Here is a 17770-nt window from a genome sequence, read left to right on the forward strand (position 1 = left end):
AGTCTTTGTCAATTATCAAATCATTAAATGGCATCTCGTTTTTATTTTAACTTGTATCCCTTGGGTTGCTAGTGCGATTGAACATTTTTTATATGTTTATTGGCCTTTTGTACATATTCTGGAAATGTTCATCTCTTTTCTTATTGATTTCTAAGAACTCTTATAATACAATAAGGATATTAATCCTCCTGCACTTGGCCAGCATTTAGTAAATAGAGGAAATTCTATTTCTGAGTGGAGGAGGACTCCTGTGGAATAAGGCCCCAAGTCTCATCCTATTTCTGTGTAAAGTTCTTCAGAGTGAAAGCTGGATTGTTGCCCTAGGAAAACTAAAGGCAGATCTGTAAGTGATACCAGTATTGATCTTAAAATAAATAAATTAATTAACCCTACAATCTGAACTAGCTTGACATTTTCTATTTTTCTGATCTATGAAAAATCTCAGGTTGTAAAATAGTGCCCAAGAATTTTCTAAAAGAACCTAGAGATATGTTAGTGGAAAGTTTAGGGGGAGATCTGCCCTAGGCCTAGTATGACCCTAAGCCAAATAAATAAATCCTTGGCTTGTTTATATAGCCAGGTTGAAGAGATAATAGTTACATCTATTAAAAAAGCTTTCTTATGACCTTTGCTACACTTAGGTCAAGAAAATGGTATTTTGAGTGACTAGATGTTTTATTTTGGATGCTCGATCAGTCTCCTTGTTTCTTTTACTATCTGTAAGATAACACATTCTTCTCAGTTGTTGAACTTTGACATCTCACCATCATATGCTCTGCCCATCTTATTCCGTAGCAGCACACATAAAGAAAGGCCAAAGCAGACTCCTGAACCCACAGTACAGCTGGAAGGTTTCTACTGCAGAGATTCTGGGACTCTTTAAAAAGAAAAAAATTAAAATTTCAAAAAATCAAACCCCCTTACACTTGGATGAGAATTCCAGAATAAAAGAGGGTGTCCCCCAGCATCCCCTGAATATTTCTAGGGTGGTGTCAAGTGAATTCAAAATTCTTGAGCACATAGATTGTTTTCAAGCTCTTGTTTTCATTTCATCAGTAAATAGAATTTTAAAAACAACAATATCCTCCCATCAGTAAATTTGGCACAATGGATACTAGCACTCCGTTCTCGTACATTCTTGTCAACATTTTCTTTCTGCATCCCCCACCCCCAAGCCTGGGCCTGCTTCCCACTATATCTCCCACAACCCTTCTGTTAGCTGTAATGACCCTGCAAACACTAAATGGCATTTGAGTGCATTAAGCAGCAAACTCTCTGGTGACATAGCAATTATGGCTCTGAAATAGATTTGGTGCGTCACGGAAGATAAGGGTTTTGAAAGTTTCTATTGTGATTATAGCCTGTAACTCCCACAAATAATAGGCTTCAAAATAAGAGGCTGCCAACGGAGCCTTTGTGGCTTTGTCTCAGTGATGGCACGTAAATTGCTATTAATGTCCTAAGTGTACTTGAATATGCCAGTCTTTGGGATGTGGAGTTGGCTCAGTGTCTCTCTTTACACGGCATGTCATTGTTGGTCTGATAATCTGGGGTAATTGCTGTCTCTTGGATGGTCAGAAAAGTGTAAGGGGTTTAGCTTCCTGTGTGATGGTAAATAGCCTCAAAATTTACCCCACGAGGGCAGGTTCACACATACTGGCTGTGTGTGTATTTCATGTGTAGCCACCGTTCACCGTTAAGATGTGTATACAATCTCTGTGTGTACCCTTAGTAAATAATAGCCTTGTCAACAAAGCCAAAGCAAAATCAAAGGTTATAAAAATGAAATGACGAATTCAGGGCTGTATAGGTTCAGCCAATCAGATAATTTATATTGAGAGTTTAAAAAAGAAAAAGAATACCCTTACTTGAATTATCTAGGTTTAGCTTTATGAGGAAGCTTTATGCTTCCTCTTTTCTAGTGTAGCTACTCTTTTCTAGTGTAAGTAGCATCTGTGTGTCTGTCTATATTCTTTAGGTAGTATGAGTACATTCGAAATGTATATCAGCTCTACGTGAATATAATAAATGTGGAAATTATGCATGTTGTCGAATGCTGTTTGTTGATGTTTAGAAGTGTGTTTTTATTTTGGTTTGTGCAGCTGTGCAGGCAGAGGTTATTTATTCAGATATAAGTAGAATTCTCTGCACTAAGGCACCTTTGTTTAGCTAAAATCAAGCTGAGCTTATTTTTCTTTGCCAGGAGATCAGGATAGCCTTTGGAAAAAGTAAGAAAATCAAACTTGAAGCTTTAGCCTCTTGTATGTCCATTTAGCCTAAGGACCTTAAGTCTGTAAGACATGAACACGTTATGTGTAACTGTCCTATTTGTACTTTTAACAGAAATGGAAAAGCAACTCAACCCAAAACCTGGAAATGCACACCATCTCCTATACTATGTGAGTTATGGAGAGGCTCAGCTAAAACCACCCCGTGTCTCAGATCCCTTATATGGCATTATTAATCCTGGATCTTCGCAACAGATTCATTAGAAAAGAATAAAGCTAAGAAGGAGCCAGAGTAGATCTTGATCTCAGAGTTGATGTATTATACAAGCGCACTTTAATAATGTGGCATTAGGATGTTGGCAGGAGGGCACACTATGATGGTGCTACAGTTGATGGAATCTTCCAGTTGGTGACTGAGCACCCCTTAGCAGTTAGGGTGCATGCAAGATAAAATTCAAGGTAGTAACTTCTAACAAGAGAGTTTGTTTTCATACCGTGTGAACATGGATCAGATATACCATCTTACTCTTAGGTCTTAGACCAGAACTCTGCCTTGCCAGTGTAAGTTAAGCCATATTCACTGGCAAGGTGGTGCCGCCCATGGTCAAGCCTCAGAAGCATAGCCCTGCAGGAGCAGAGCTTGTCTTGTTCAAAACCAAGTTTGATGAGGTGGATTGTTGCTTAGTAGCAGGAGATATTAGAATCCTCGGACTTTTCTGAGGCCAGTCTTGTGATTCATATGTTCTAGCATCTTAATAAACAACATAGGGATTCCCAAAGGTGAACTGAAGAGCACAAGTCACCTGCCTTTAGCTGTGAGCATCCAAAGTAGCTGTGCTCTGCATGTGGAGCGCACACATTGTCCCACAGCCCCGTCTTTTGAAAATTGAAATGTCCAAAAAGCAGTAGCAGGCAGTGGGTACTAAGTCTGGCAAATCCTGGGTTCTGAGATCTAGTTTTCTCTCCTGAGAAGTAGGAGTAAGAGTTCACACTAGATTTGTGTACCACTGTGTATTTGTGATCCAGAGCAAGAGATGGACCTATAACTGTGCAGTTATGCTGGGCACCTGCAGCCAAGCCATCCAGTATTCACAGGAACGAGACACCAAGGGAAGGCTTCAAAGCCATCATTTCTCCTTCCATTCAATCAAGTGCTTAATTGAGCAGCTGCTGTGTCAAACATGAGCCTAGTCCTGTAATGGCTTGTTGTTGAATGATTTACCATCTCATTGAGGATAAATATCAAAGTGCTTCATGTAGCCTGCAAGTCTGGGCATGGCTAAGTCCTCTCCTCTCCGGTCCTGTCTTGCTTCACTTACCACTGTTCTCCCCTGTTCCATTCTTTCTGGCCTTCTTTGAGTCCCTTGGAGACTCTGGAAAGGCTTCCCTTTGCCCCACTCTTGGCTTGTCTGTTTTCTGTTCACCTTCAGGCTGATTTTCCGTAAGCCCAAGTGAGGTCCCTCTTTTGTACTGTCTCCTAGCACTTATTGCCATCTAGAATCTGTATACATTATTTTGATAATATAGCAAATGTCAATTTCCTGCAAAACAGTAAACTCCTTGAGAGCAGAAACAAGATTTTTTTAACTTATTTTATCAACCACTGTATGCCCAGTATGTAGCACAAGTGGGCACTGAATACGTATTTACGTAATTAAAAACTAAGTGATTACAGCCAAAAACATATGGTGCTCACTTGGAGATTTTAAATGATAAATAAAAGTTGCACGTAGTTTTAAATGTCAAAATGAAGGATCAGTAAGTCAGTGGTATTAGAGGCTAGAGACATGGGTGATGTGTGCCTTGAAGAAACCTACAATAAGAAAGTGACTCTCAAGCTGGGCCTTGAAAGATGACACGGATTTGTAGAGACCAGAGGAGATAGACAGGCAAAGGCAAAAAAATCCTCTCACTTGACTTCTCAGTACAGTAAAGGAAGGATTCTCACTTTGACAATGAAAAATTATTATTTCTTTGCAGCAGCGTAAACTACAAAAGTCTTTGCAGCAAGGATTTCTATTCTCCACCAGGAATGGCTGACTGCATTGCACTGCTAATCTTTCTGAACATAGAGACCTATAAACAAGATCTCAGGATTCAAGAGGCTTGATGGGAGCCAGACTAGAGAGGAGTGTGGTGGTGTGGCATTGATATGAAGCCACCAGGGGCTGACCTAGTGGTAGGTGGCAATTAGAGAGGATACCCTGGCAGTCAAAGGACTATGGAAACAGGAATCCTAGAGCCAGCAGCATGAGTTAATCCAAGCAGAGGATTGGCTTCTGGGAAGTACGATGGCAGGTAGTAGTTGGTGAGCTGAGGTTCCAGAGCAGTATTCCAATAACAAGAGCAAGTCACTTTCTCGGTCTTTAAGGAACTGTAATAAATAGCAGAAAATTAAGCAAAGCTAGGCATAAGCTTGGTAGAGATGGTCTCAACCACAAGAAAGAAGTTCCTATATGAAGACACTGATGCAAAATGTCCAAGTAAGACAAGTGGCAAAATTGATTCTGAGTTACCTATGGTACCAAACTAGGCCAGAAGAAAATTTCTTCTGTCTGAGAGCACATGTTATTCCCATATAGGGTTGCCAGATTTAGCAAATGGAAATACTACATGGGATATACTTATAAAATTACAGTGTAACAGGGCATCCCATATTTTATCTGGCAATGTCATTCCTAGATCCTAAGAGGGAAGCTGAATCTGTATATGGGTCTCACACCAGAGAGAGAAAAGATAGGGGCTCAAGGACACAACAGGCCATTAGGAGACTATGTCTGTTTTGCATTTTTGCAATTCCCACTGTGCTCAGGGTGGTAACTGGGATACAGATGCAGGATGGGTTGTCTTCTCCTTGTGCCTTTCTGGAGAACACTCCTTGTTAAGATGGTGTGCTAAGCTGTGGCACTGCAACTGTCAGGTTCCAGTGTCCTTCTCAATTGCTTTCCCTAAACGCAAAACAAAACAGTATAAATATTAATTATCATTGCTTGTTTGGGATAAGCTATGAAGCACCAAATCTCCCTGATGCCAGTTTAGTAAGAGAAACGTTCACTGCCTGAAGATTAAAGTTACCCAGAAACTTGGCAGTGCTTCTGCTCTGTCTTTTGAGTATTTTCTAGGTGTACACAGCTATTTACATATAGTTGGAATGAATTATGGAGGTCAGGGATCTCATGCCATATGTCTCTCCATGCCCATGTTGGGGGATGGATGTCACAGTGCCACCAAGTGTTTCTTTACTTCATCCTATGCCTCTCCAAGAAACATTTATCAAAATCGGCGATGTGTCGGGCACTGTGGTGGGCACTTTGGAATAAAAGATAAATTCCACACCCTTGCTTTTATGGTCGGGTAGGTGAAACCGACGTGTGAAGGAACACACGCAATACAGCAGCACATGTGCTGTGACAGAGGCACATACATAGAACTGGGGGCCTGCAGGAGGAAGAAACAAAAAGCATGGCCAGGGGACAGATGGATGTGCAAAGATATTCAAATTCAGTCTTACAAAGCAGCCAAGGTGTGAGTGAGATGTAATTGGAGGAGTGAGGGCACGGCATTCAAGGGGAAAGAAGCAGGCATGAGACGGCTGCTCTGTCCTGGGAAATTCATGGGAATGTAAATAATTGTGTTGATAGGGGAAGTAAGCAAGATCAAGGCTGCGGCAGAGCTGCTGAGGACATTGAACCTCATCTTGAGGCCAATGGGTAGCCATTGAAGATTTCAACAGGGAGATGACATGCACAGAATGACACTTTTGAAAGATAGCTCTGGTGGCAGCTAGAGATAGGACTGGAGGAATACCCAGACCGGGCCTGGATCTCTTTTCCACTGTAAAATTCCCCAGGAAATTTTGAATCTTTTGACGTCCCTAAGGGGGCTTTCCAATAGCATCTTTTCAAAGTGCTGTCTGTGTAATCTTGGGAAAGTGTTAAGCATATCAGGAAGACATATTTCTTCTAGCTTGATAGAAGAGTGATGAATCTAGGATGTGACCTCTGCTGTGTGAGCTGATGTCTCCCTGATATATAGTGGCTCTGTGTGTGTTTGCATAGAGAGGGAAAGAGGATGCATCCGTGTCTCTGTTTTTCTTCCCGGCCGTTCCCAACAGTGACTGGGTGATTGAGGGGCTGGAGCACGTGCAGCTCCTCACCCACGCTGAAGGCATCTCTAGTAATGGCATCTGGCCCATATGCAGATCTAGCTCCACTCTGTGCTGACATCAGCCGGTTTGTGGCACCTCAGCGTATTTCTGGGTTGCAAATGAGAGTTTCTTAGTGCCAGGCTTGCTTGGGCTGTCACATCAGGTGATGAATTCTCTGCATCAACCGTGTGCTGCTAAGGTAATCGCAGAGGAAGAGTGGGAAAAAGAGGAGATGGGGCAGGTGCTTCTCAGCCCTGCAGCCGCTGCTCAGGGCTAAAAGCAGCACTGGATCCACAACAGGGAGGGAGAAGCAACTATCTGTGGTCCCCGTTCTGGTTCAAGGAGGGTGGTAGAGAAAAGGCAGGGTTTTGGTTGCAATTCTGTGTCACGTGTCCTGTCAGGAGAAACCACGTGGGTTTTCCCATCTGCCATTGCCCCATCCTTGGCTCAAGAGCTAGCTCCCTCTACCTCCTCAGACAGGCATGTTTTGCATTACCTTTTAGGTGAAGTTCTAGCAAAATTTGGTGTATATCAAATTATATGCCAAATTCTTTAGGATAGACCATAGAGTAAATAGTCATTTTTATTCCCGAAACACTTTGTTTCCAAATATCTTTGTGTTTTGGAAATCCAGATTTTCTTATCTTGGGAACCTGCTGTATTTTATCTTAGTTTTATATTCTATGAGCTTCTCTCTTGGTGAGCTCCAGGTTGAGCTGCTCTGCTGGCTTAGGCTTCATCTGGTAGAATTAAAAGTTACATTGGGTCACACGTCCCAGGTGTTGCATCACAGGCCACAGAATTACCTATATAAAACTGAGTGCAAATGTAGACACTCTTCCACTAAATTGTTTTTAGCAATTAAAAGTGTACCTTTGGTTTTGCAGATTTTACCTCCCACCCTGTGACCCCTCAGTGTGGTTTATGACATTAGCATTTCCAAGAGTGTGTTCATTATAAAGAATTGTTTGCATCAGAAAGTAGAGAGGGAAGCTGAGGTGCAGAAAAAAAATAAAAATAAAAGTCTTATTTTCCACCCCGCCCCCACCCACCGCACAGTTGTTAATGAAAGCATCCTCTCCTCTCACTCTGCCCAGAGATAAATAAACACACAAAGGCGGAGTTTCCTACTTAATATTCACCCACAGTCGAGGTAGAGGGAAGGAATTGCTCCCCAGGGTTAACGTGGCAGTAAGCGAGGTCAGCTGTTTCCCAAGACGGTGCAGCCTCTGAACGTCTTCCATCACAGCTAGAATGATACAGCTGAAGCAGCCGAAGTGATTTACAGGAAACCCAGTTAACTTGAGTTTGCTTGCAGTTTCTATCTTATGATGGTTTTAGCAGTAACAGCAGCAAATAATATACCGTCCTATAAAGCACCTCTAGAGAAAAGAATTCTTCCACATTCCCCAGCATGACATGCTTCTTCTAAAAAGTATTTGTGTTTCTCTAACTTAAACCCTATAGGCTACAATGTCCTAAATTTGGTGAGAAGTGGGAGGTCATAGCTGGCATATCCTGGAATAGGGTGGCCAAAAGTCTCATTTTGCTCAGGCTGTTGGGGTCTACTCGGATCTGAGACTTTAGGTACTAACATGGGAAAGTCCTGGGCAAACTGGGATGGATGGTCACCAAATCTGAGGGGGTGTGTGTGTGTGTATCTGTGTGCATATTTATGGTTGGAGGGGGAGTGGAAAAAAGGGGAGTGAAAGAGGTTTTGTTTAATGTATTTCTTTTAGCTAGAAGGTTTTATATATTCTTCACTAGGCCAACTAGAATAATATAATGCTGGTTTTGAGATTAGCTTGAAATAATTCCTATTTCTCCCATCTGTGGGTTCTCTATACCCCCTAACATCTTACACACTGGTCTGAGAAAACAGAACTTTTTAAAGAAAAGAGATCAAATTTTTACTATTTGAGTTATTTCAGGTCTGGGATGACTCAAGAAGAAGTCTCCCAGAACCTTCTGGGCAATATAGAATGCCTTGTCAATTCCTTCTTAATGAAACACCACAGAACTAATTTTCTTTACTAATGGCTTCATTTTTTGCACCACTTATTGTTATCTTAATGGAATTATGGCATGGCTAAAATGATAGAGTGGTGATTTGTGAGCAATGTAATAGAACTCCATTGTTCCATGACCTATGACATGTACGCTCACTGCTTTCATAGAGCTTCCTTATCTGCTTATTTTATACCAGGGTGATTCTAAGATACATGCCTTTTTTCTTTCTTTCTTTCTTTCTTTTTTTTTTTTTTTTTACCAGAATTTTACTCTACTTCATGACATTGTACTTAAAAACTTAAAAAAAAAGTTTTCTTAAATTTCTGTACTGCTGAGTCATTTTTATTCCTGAAACACTTTGTTTCCAAATATCTTTGTGCTTTGGAAATCCAGATTTTCTTATCTCGGGAACCTGCTGCATTCCCCAGTGTGACGTGCTTCCTCTAAAAAGTAGGACCCCTACCTCCTGCCCCTACAGATACACTCCTGCCTGCCTGCCTGTCTGTCTACCTACCTATCTATCTACCTGCCTATCTACCTGTCTGTCTACTTATCTATCTATCTAAATATCTATCTGGTAAACATTCACATATAAAAATGAGTAGGAGAAACAGATACCAAAGCAATTATATGTGTCATCAAAGCTGAATAATTTTCCCCAAGTAGTAGGATTATGGGTGCATGCTGTATGTTTTGTTTTTTATGCTTTCTAATTTCCCAAATATTAGCGATAAGTATATCTTATTTTTATTTTAAAAAATGACATTAAAGGATCTTCTTTGGGAAAAATAAACGTGGCCGCCATTCTTAGTCAGCCTAAAATGGCACCAGAATCTATATTCCTGGTTGGGATGGGAGGCTACAATATTATCACCCCTATGGCAGACTTTCATTAGGAATTTGAATGAATTCTGTTCTTGATTCTGGTTATACTACAGAGTCTTTGCCCCCAAAAGTTGGAAAAGCTTTCTGTTATGAAAGAAAGAATTATTTTCCTCCTTATTGTTCTCCGTCTAATCTGTTTATCACAAACAGCAGGGGGAAATGTCCTCCAACAGAGAAAAGGAGTGAGAGGAGTGACTTGACTGGGTTAGGAGATGGGAGATTGGAACTTGAGAGCAGTTATTTGCTGACCCAAGATTGGGGAGCGGTGTTCTTGGCATTGCTCAGGATGCCCTCTTGGTATCCAGATCTGCTTTTCAGTGAGGTGTGAACAAAACCTACCCTGTTGCTGAAGTAACTGGTAGGAGCTGCTTTGAATTAAAAGCCTGGCTTTCCTGGGAAAATTGGAGCATCATTTGGGTGAGCCAATGATAAAGAAAGCCAAGTGGTTGAAAAGCGCAGAGAAAATGGAGCCCGAATTCAAAGATCTCAAGGCCTGTGTTCTCAGTCGTGAACCGGGACACCTGCTTTTCTCTTGCACCTCTGCTCTCTGATGAATAAAATGGGAACGGCATACTCCAGGTGCCATGGAGTATGCAAGAGTTGAAGTGGTGCTCCCTCCCAAGCAGCAACAATAATACCTGCCCCATCTCCCCCAAATTTTTCAGAGAATGAGAGGATAGTACAATAGAAAACATTTTACCAGGGATGTCTCAGACCTGATCTGTTCAACGTGAACTACAAAGGAACACAGTAATCGAAGGGGGGAAAGGCATTTTAGCACACTTATATTTCAATGCTTTAAAACATATAAGCAATCATGAATTATGCATCATGAATTAACCACTATAGCAAAGCATTCTTCAACTATTTTAGTGCTGGGATTTTTTTGAAAGGGGTGGTTACTAAACAGATTTTTTTAGAACAGTTTTAACAGTTTTATTGTTGGGATGCTCCTGGATCTAGAGTCTTGTAAAATGATCTCCAAATATTGATCAAGCCTATACCTTCCCGTCTCACCACCTCTCTGGATATATTCACACAGACTAGTCCTTATGGCCTTGGCACCATTGTTGTATCTGTTATAGTCACCTGAATTAGCCTCTGTACTTTTCAAAACTCACCTCAAAGAGTGCTCCCTCTATGAAGTATTTCCTGATGTTGCAACAAAATGTGATATTGTTTTCATTTGAAACTTCATAGCAATGGGACTCTACCATTTATTAGGTTCTGCCTTGATTTATAAGTTCATTCGTGGGCTTATCTCCCTCCTTGAACACATGAACTACATCTCACTCATCATTATATACCCATGAGCATCTAGTATAGAACCTTGTGCAGAACAAATACCTGGAATCCCATAAATACATGGGACATCCAGAGTCAGAAAGAACCCTAGAAAGCATTTGAGCCAACCTTCTTATTTTTCAAAAAAGAAGACTAAGGTCAAATAGGTGAAGGTGCTTTACCATCGACATTAGCTAGTTGTTGCCAGAGCCAGAACCAAAACTTGAGTCCCTTGACCTGCAGGACAGCTGTCATTTCACTGCTGGCTGGGACTTAATTACAGAGTCTTTGGGAAGTATAAACACATCATACTAGTGGGAGGTATTAACATCATATCCAGAGGCTCACTGGGAGGACCCAAACTTATTTGAGGGTGGGGGCAATATTATCACCCACAGTAATAGTTGCCCATTTGATGAGTGTCTCCATGTGCCAGGCACTATGCTAGGTCCTTTACACAAGATGCCTCATTGTCATTGTCTGCTGAAAACAGCCACCCAATCTCAGAGGACTGACTTCTCTCCCTTTTTCCCTTCTAGGCTAATGGAGGTTGGCAGGATGCTACTACCCCTTCATCAGTGACCTCCCCTACAGAAGGCCCTGGCAGTGTTCACTCTGATACCTCCAACTGATCTCCCAGCAATCGCATCCCGGCTGACCCTGTGCCCCAGTTGGGGCAGGGGCAGGAGGGAGGGTTTCTCTCCCAACGCTGAAGCGGTCAGACTGGAGGTCGAAGCAATCAGCAAACACAATAAGAGTCTCCTTCTCTTCTCTTCTTTGGGATGCTATTTCAGCCAATCTGGACACTTCTTTATACTCTCTTCCCTTTTTTTTCTGGGTAGAAGCCACCCTTCCCTGCCTCCAGCTGTCAGCCTGGTTTTCGTCATCTTCCCTGCCCCTGTGCCTCTGTCCTAGACTCCCGGGGTCCCCGCCCTCTCTCATATCACTGAAGGATATTTTCAACAATTAGAGGAATTTAAAGAGGAAAAAAATTACAAAGAAAATAATAAAAGTGTTTGTACGTTTTCATGCTGGTGGTTTGAGGAGCCAAATTTACCTCACTCGAATCCCTCACTCCCTATGTTAACAGGCAATCCTTCTCTGTTTCTCTTATTACTCTCACTACCTCTTAGCAGGAATACTCCACATTGCCCTATTCATTCCAGGCCTCCCTGCTTCCTCTTGCTCTTCCTCCCTGGGGACAGTACTGATTGGAACACTTTCCTCCTCTTCCTTCCTAGCCCCAGCTATTCACTGGGGACTGTCATAGCTGGGATTCTAAAGGTGCCACATTTTTCAGTTTCATCTCCACTAGGTTGGTTCCCGGGCAGGAAGTCAGGCAGCAGGGAAGGACACGGGAACAGCAGGTGGAGAATTCCTACAGTCTTTCTTACCCTGCTAGCAATAGCTCTCAGTTTCAGAGGCACAGTCTTTGGAGACCATTCAGCACTGAGAAAGCAATATTTAGAACCTATTGCAAAACTGGGCCTGAGTTAGGCATGGTGATGAATGCATCAGCAAGGAATAGAAAGTTCTTATCGTGAAACCCTTCAACCTCAACTATGCCTTCATAGACACACACGTTCATGCACATGTAGGCACATGTACCATCTCACATCTTCACTTTCCCGAGATGCCATATACAATTACCTACATTAATAACTGTAGCACTATGCCTTTTGAGCCCGAGAGAGGGAATTAGTGACTCTAAGTGAAGGTCACTGACACAGAGAAGCAGTATGTGTCTGGGGCTTCCAGGACCTGCAGGCCCACTAGCGTGCACTTACCAGAATGGCATACACAGGACCTGATCATGAGGAAGACCAGGTTTCCAGTGTAAACTACTCTTGTTCCCACCACCTCTGGAGCACTCAGGGAGCCCCATACAGTACTTACAATGTCTTTAATGGACTTGATTCTGTTTAATTTTTTGTTTTATATTAGGCACACTGTATTAATTTTCCAAAATGTTATACCACACTATGTTCTTGGTCCTGACCTATTGCTCTGGAGGAAAGAGTTGTATAAGAACGTGGCTCATGTGAACTTTTGCTAGCTTCATTTGAGGACCTGAGAATCATGGGGAAAGGGAAGGTAATGTTTTCATTGAAATCATCACAGTGATTTTTATTCCCTGGGAACACAGCGTGTACTAAAAATACATGAGAAAATAGCATGTATATGAAAGCTATTCTCAAAAGTCACCTGAGCTCACCATCTTCATAGCCAACCCTACCAGTTATAAAGATGGCAGCTCTATCACTTGATTAAGTGGGAGGTGGTCAAATATTTTGGTGCCTCATTTTCTTCATCTGTGAGATGGGAACTGTTATGCCTGGCTTACTAAGAGTCTTGTGAGAGACTGAGAAGTTGATTTTGTTCATATCCAATCTGTAAATGCGAAGTCAGGGGAAGTAATGTCCCTGAAATAAACGGGTTCATGCCATCTAGGGACAATAAATGGTTTTCTTGTTGTAACTTCTGGTTAATATCAGTACCTTGATGTCATCACCGTGATGACAAAGAGAAGAGTTATTGTTGATCTTCTTGGTTTTGGTCTGTCTCTTTTCTTAGGATAAAGAAAAACTTCCAAACTAGAAAAACAGGCCCTGGTTCCCTTAGTTTGCACTTGAACCCAATATGTTGCCTTGTACATACTTGGTCCCTGTCACATTGACTGCTTGGGAGGCTTCCAGGGAGAAGTATGAGACCCTGAGGGGTGAGAATGGGCAGCTAGCAAGAACATGGAAATTCTGCTTGGCACTACAGTCATAAATAGAAAACACTGTGTGTGCTCAGGGGAGCAGGGGATGCCACTGAAGAAACTCAAGGGAATGTGTATTTGAAGGAAATGCAAAAACTAAGTATTTAGCAAAATGAAATTATGCCTTGATGACTAAAAGGCACTAGAAAGGTTGTGTCTACTAACTTCAGCCCTAATCAGAACAGATGCCTAGAAGGAGCATTTTTGTGACAACTTCATAGTGATTAGAATCAGTGGAGAACTCCATCTTAGTGGCAGGAATATAATGAAACTACCCACGCAAGAACATGGTTGAATCACATTTGCTTGACTTAGGGCAAAGTACGAAAGAGAGACAAAAGGGTTCTCTTGGAAACAAGAAGAGTGACTCCAGATGTGGCCTGAATAATTGCCATGTTAAGTTAATGCAAAAGATCAGAACAGGGCTACATTTGCACAGGCAGTTTCTCTCCGGGCCGTAGTTTTCACTGATGATCACCTTTCACAGCATTTTCCCCAACCAGCATTTCACTTAGTCTTCTCTATACCCAGCACCTCCCCCGGCACCCCCGGCAAGCCCACTATCACTTCCGACTTCCAACGTGGCATCCGTGAGATCTGTCCACATTAGGCGAAGCAGGAGAACACTGAGAGCAGCAGGATGGGTTTGGAAAGAGCATGCCTCTGGAAACACAGCTTCCTGGGAATTCACATGAGGCCAGTCCTACAGAGAGCAAGATGCACCCCAGGATTTCTTCATTTTCTAATAGATGTGGGAGTGCTCCATTTTCCCCGACAGCGAATTTCCCCTGAGAAACGATACTAGACCCTGGGTTTGCCCACCTTGTAACTCTTCCTTATCTCCTCCTTTTCATCCCTAATCCATCCTCCCTCTGGCATGGAATTGACGCCCGTGCAGTACATTTGCCAAGTGGCACCTTCTTTCAATTTATGTTTTATTTTGCTATGGTGGTGATTCTTTATTTGCTGGTTGTCTTTTCTCACACATCTTTCTCTCTGTCTCTCTCTTTCCTGCTCTTTGTTTTTCTGCCCAGAAAAACCTGACTTCGATACCAAAAAAGATGAAACTACAGAAACTCAAATTTAAAAAAAACTTTAAAAGAAACAAAAAAATACTCAACGATTCTTTCAGCTTTATTAACATTTTCCATTGTTTCTTGCGACTTGTGTCTCGTTCTTTGTAGTATTGATGATGAACATTTGATAATGAATGTTCTTGTATATTCAGATAAAGAAAAAAAAAACCAAAAAAGCGGTCTGAATTTAATAGTGTTTATAATAAAAATTTTAAAAATGACCCTCATAGCACGCAAAACAGGATGGGGAATTTCCCCTCTTCTTTCTGTGACAATGCGCATCATTCCTGCATTAGTTTTTAACACCAGACTACCTACATTCATCATTTCCCTCATTTTTCTTTTATTTTCTTGCATTTGTGAATTAGTTCAAGAATGCTAGAAAAGTGTCGAGTTGTGCACATCCATTTCTTGTTTCACAATGTTTAAAAGTGACAGTAATTCATTTTGTAAACTAAAAAAAAAAAAAAAAAGGTTGGAATAGTGAGCATAATAGGTACAACCTAACACATTATTATGTTTATTAACTTTGAGACCCAGAAATAAATTCTTTTCTTTTCTTGATTCTTGCTCTTAAAAATACAAAAAAAAAAATGTTTTGTTTTGTGTTATTTTTGGTTTGTTTATTGGGGGGCTTTTTTTAATTGTCAGGATTATGATCTTGCTGTTTTTCTTCAATATGTATACAAGGTGATGTGAAAAGATGACTTGGGCAGAGGAGTAAGAACAAGTAGGCTTGTTCTTCTACTTTGCTTCAGAATTCAGTTAATGCCAAAAGCGAAGATCAAGCCCATGTTGATGTCTCGTTGCTCACCTGCATTTCCAGAGAGTGTGACACTCATGCAGTCCCTGAGAAAAATAAAATCAGGGACATACTTCTCCTTTTAGCCTTTTAAAAATTCAAAAACGTTTAGTCCAAGGGAACTTTTTATGCTATCAGGAAAGGTTTTTGCTGTTTTTGATTCTGATTATCACAGCCAAGTACTTTGTTTTATTTCTCCCTAATTAATAACTACATTCCATGAGGCCTCTTCCAACCAAAGAGGCCTTTTCTTCCAGGAGAGTCCCGCAGGAGATGCTGGTATGATGGGCACCATTGGTTAAGTAAACTACATGCAGGAAGAAGTCCTTGGGGCCAGTCTGCCAGCTGAGTCCTGGTTTTGGATGAAGAGTTAATGAGATATTGGGCCAGGCTCAATGCTGTAGTTTTAATGCTAAGAGGTTACGTTTACTTCACAGAGTACACCTCTTAGTAACCTCTGACTTAGGCAGCTGCTTAAAGCAAATTGCAAAACTGGCTTGATTTGGAATGTTTTTATTAGAGGAAAAAAGAAAGCCATATTATCTGGAAAAAAATTCATTTTAAATACCATCATTCAACAAATTATGTTCAGAAAGTGGTCAGAACTTAAGCAAGAAAAGTAAAGAAAGAATGCAGAATTGTGGAGCAATGCTTTAGGAAATATTTCTACCTGAACACTTGTACTCTTGAAGTCACAACAAAATAATGATGAGCTTTTCACATCACCTTTATGGTTTCAATCCCTAGCTCAAAGCTTCCTGGAATCTTTTATTTTTTGTAAACTTTTTTTTCTTTTGTTAAAATAAATAAAACATTCAATGTTTTTCTCCTTTTCTCTCTTATTACTTCTTTCCTTTGGCATTTTCAATTTGAAATGCTTTCCTTTGGTTGTTGGTTTTATTCTCCCCCTACCCCTCCCCTTTTCTTATTATTCAGAATATAAACCTGCAAAGCTCTGCTCTGTTTTGGTTTTGAAAGTTTAAGCTTTTCTGCTTCTGTGAGAGCACAGGCTTCTGTCCCTTTTGATTCCAACTGAACTTTTGTGTTCTCTAATGATACTAACACGGTGTAGGTTTTACAGTCTCCTAATTTGTACTGGTAATGCATATTCCAAATAAATAGTTTCTTTTGTTGCAAAAAAAAATACTTGTATTTTGTGCACATTTCTTTTCTTACATGCTGGCAACTTCTCTTTCCCCAAACTAGGCCTGCATTAGTGTAGATTATGGTTTAAACTGTTGCCCTAATCACTGAAAAGTCTACATACTATGGTGGTGGGGCAGAGACCTTATGGACCACCTTCTTCACTCAGGAAATAAGAAGGAAGGAAGGAAGGATCATTTGTGGGTAAACAATAGCTGTATTACAGAGGGACAGAGCACCCCATCTTGTCTGCTTGCTACTGGCAGCCATCCACCAAGCACCAGTTCAGAGAAATGCCAGGAGTATTTTCCATAATAAATTCTAAGTTCCTAAGTCATGGCTGTTTGCCCAGTGATTCTCCTTTTCTTCTCTTTGTCTGCTGTGATCTGGTCATAAGAAAAATTGTGGTTCCCAAGAGATATTTCAGGGGAAGGAATCTAGGTTACAAATAATACCCAGTTGTAGGCTCTCAGGAGTGTGATAGATGTTACTCCCAACAGATGTGCATCTCTACCATCTGTTATGCCTACCATCCCAAAGGAGCATCTCTTCCAATAGTCTGCACTCATATTGAACCCCTGACCTTTGAGGTTTCGAAGTGTTACAGAGTGTGGTATCCCCAGTGTTCTAGCTGGAACACCAGGCCTCCACACCTAAGTCTGTGCCCAAGTCTTTAACACCATCTTCCCATCCATAGAGTGGGATGGAACTCCTTGTCTGCCTTTTGACATGTTACTCTAGGGCCATCACATGCATTACATTCTCATTTTCATGCTGTAGCTCTCCTATGAGGCTCTGTCCAGATCCTCTATGAGATGAGTATGTATTGAAAGTTGAGGTAATAATCACTTATCCCAATCACAATTCTAAATGATAGAAACTAGATCAAAGCATCCCCAGCCTATGGGAATCAAATTATCATTTTTATTAATGGACAAGCTAAGTGCCCATTGGCCTCCAAAGTTTACAGCTATCTGCTAATGTTGAGTTGGTGAGTGTCACCAGAAGCCAAAATGGAGGACTCGTGTTCTCTCTTCAAATCTAAACATTGGAATATACTTACGGGAGCAAGCAGGCTCCGATTACTTCCTTTTTCAATTGCATGGAAAATTAGGGGCTAACTCACCCACCTAGTGTATTACTTAGAGTGGTACTAAATAGATGTAAGAAACAGACCAAAAATGTATACTGCCTCAAATGCAATACAAGCTATTTCTCACTTACGGTATAGCCTAAGGCAAATGTCCCTGGTCATTGCCTCTCCTTGAAGTAATTTGGGGATCTAGCTGCTTCTACTCTGTGGCTCATCCATCCTCCAAGAATCTGTAGCTTTTCACATCTAGCCCACAGAAGGGAAAGGGTGTGAAGAAGGCCCACCCGCTTCTTGAAAGCCTTGACCAAGACTTCCATTCATATTCCTAAATGCAAGGG

The 17770-nt window shown here is 41.3% G+C and overlaps 1 protein-coding gene across 11 annotated transcripts in view, besides 2 other annotated features; it reads left to right on the forward strand.

Moving 5' to 3' along the window:
• PBX1 (PBX homeobox 1) overlaps window positions 1–17770 on the forward strand; it is a 326864-nt gene that overhangs the window by 276307 nt on the left and 32787 nt on the right. For 4 of the 11 annotated variants that reach the window (NM_002585.4, NM_001204961.2, XM_047421783.1 and 1 more), the window contains one exon: window positions 11094–16341. The exons of 5 other annotated variants lie outside the window; for them this stretch is intronic. In NM_002585.4, coding sequence (NP_002576.1) covers window positions 11094–11186 — 93 coding nt within the window. In that variant the 3' untranslated portion in view covers window positions 11187–16341. Of the gene's footprint in view, window positions 1–11093; window positions 16342–17770 lie in introns of those variants that run through there. 2 more of the 11 variants (NM_001204963.2, NM_001353130.1) reach the window with 2 other exon arrangements.
• Window positions 780–2067: an enhancer, noted in NCBI's record as "VISTA enhancer hs1191". NCBI's record gives its function as "enhancer in: forebrain[4/7] | facial mesenchyme[3/7]" and the evidence as "EXISTENCE:transgenic organism evidence [ECO:0001131][PMID:17130149]".
• Window positions 3158–3659: an enhancer, noted in NCBI's record as "NANOG hESC enhancer chr1:164807885-164808386 (GRCh37/hg19 assembly coordinates)". NCBI's record gives its function as "activates a minimal SCP1, AML or CMV promoter by ChIP-STARR-seq in primed H9 embryonic stem cells {active_cell/tissue: H9 hESC(primed)}" and the evidence as "EXISTENCE:reporter gene assay evidence [ECO:0000049][PMID:30033119]".

This window comes from Homo sapiens, chromosome 1 (genome assembly GCF_000001405.40).
Source record: "Homo sapiens chromosome 1, GRCh38.p14 Primary Assembly".
Taxonomy (NCBI): domain Eukaryota; kingdom Metazoa; phylum Chordata; class Mammalia; order Primates; family Hominidae; genus Homo; species Homo sapiens.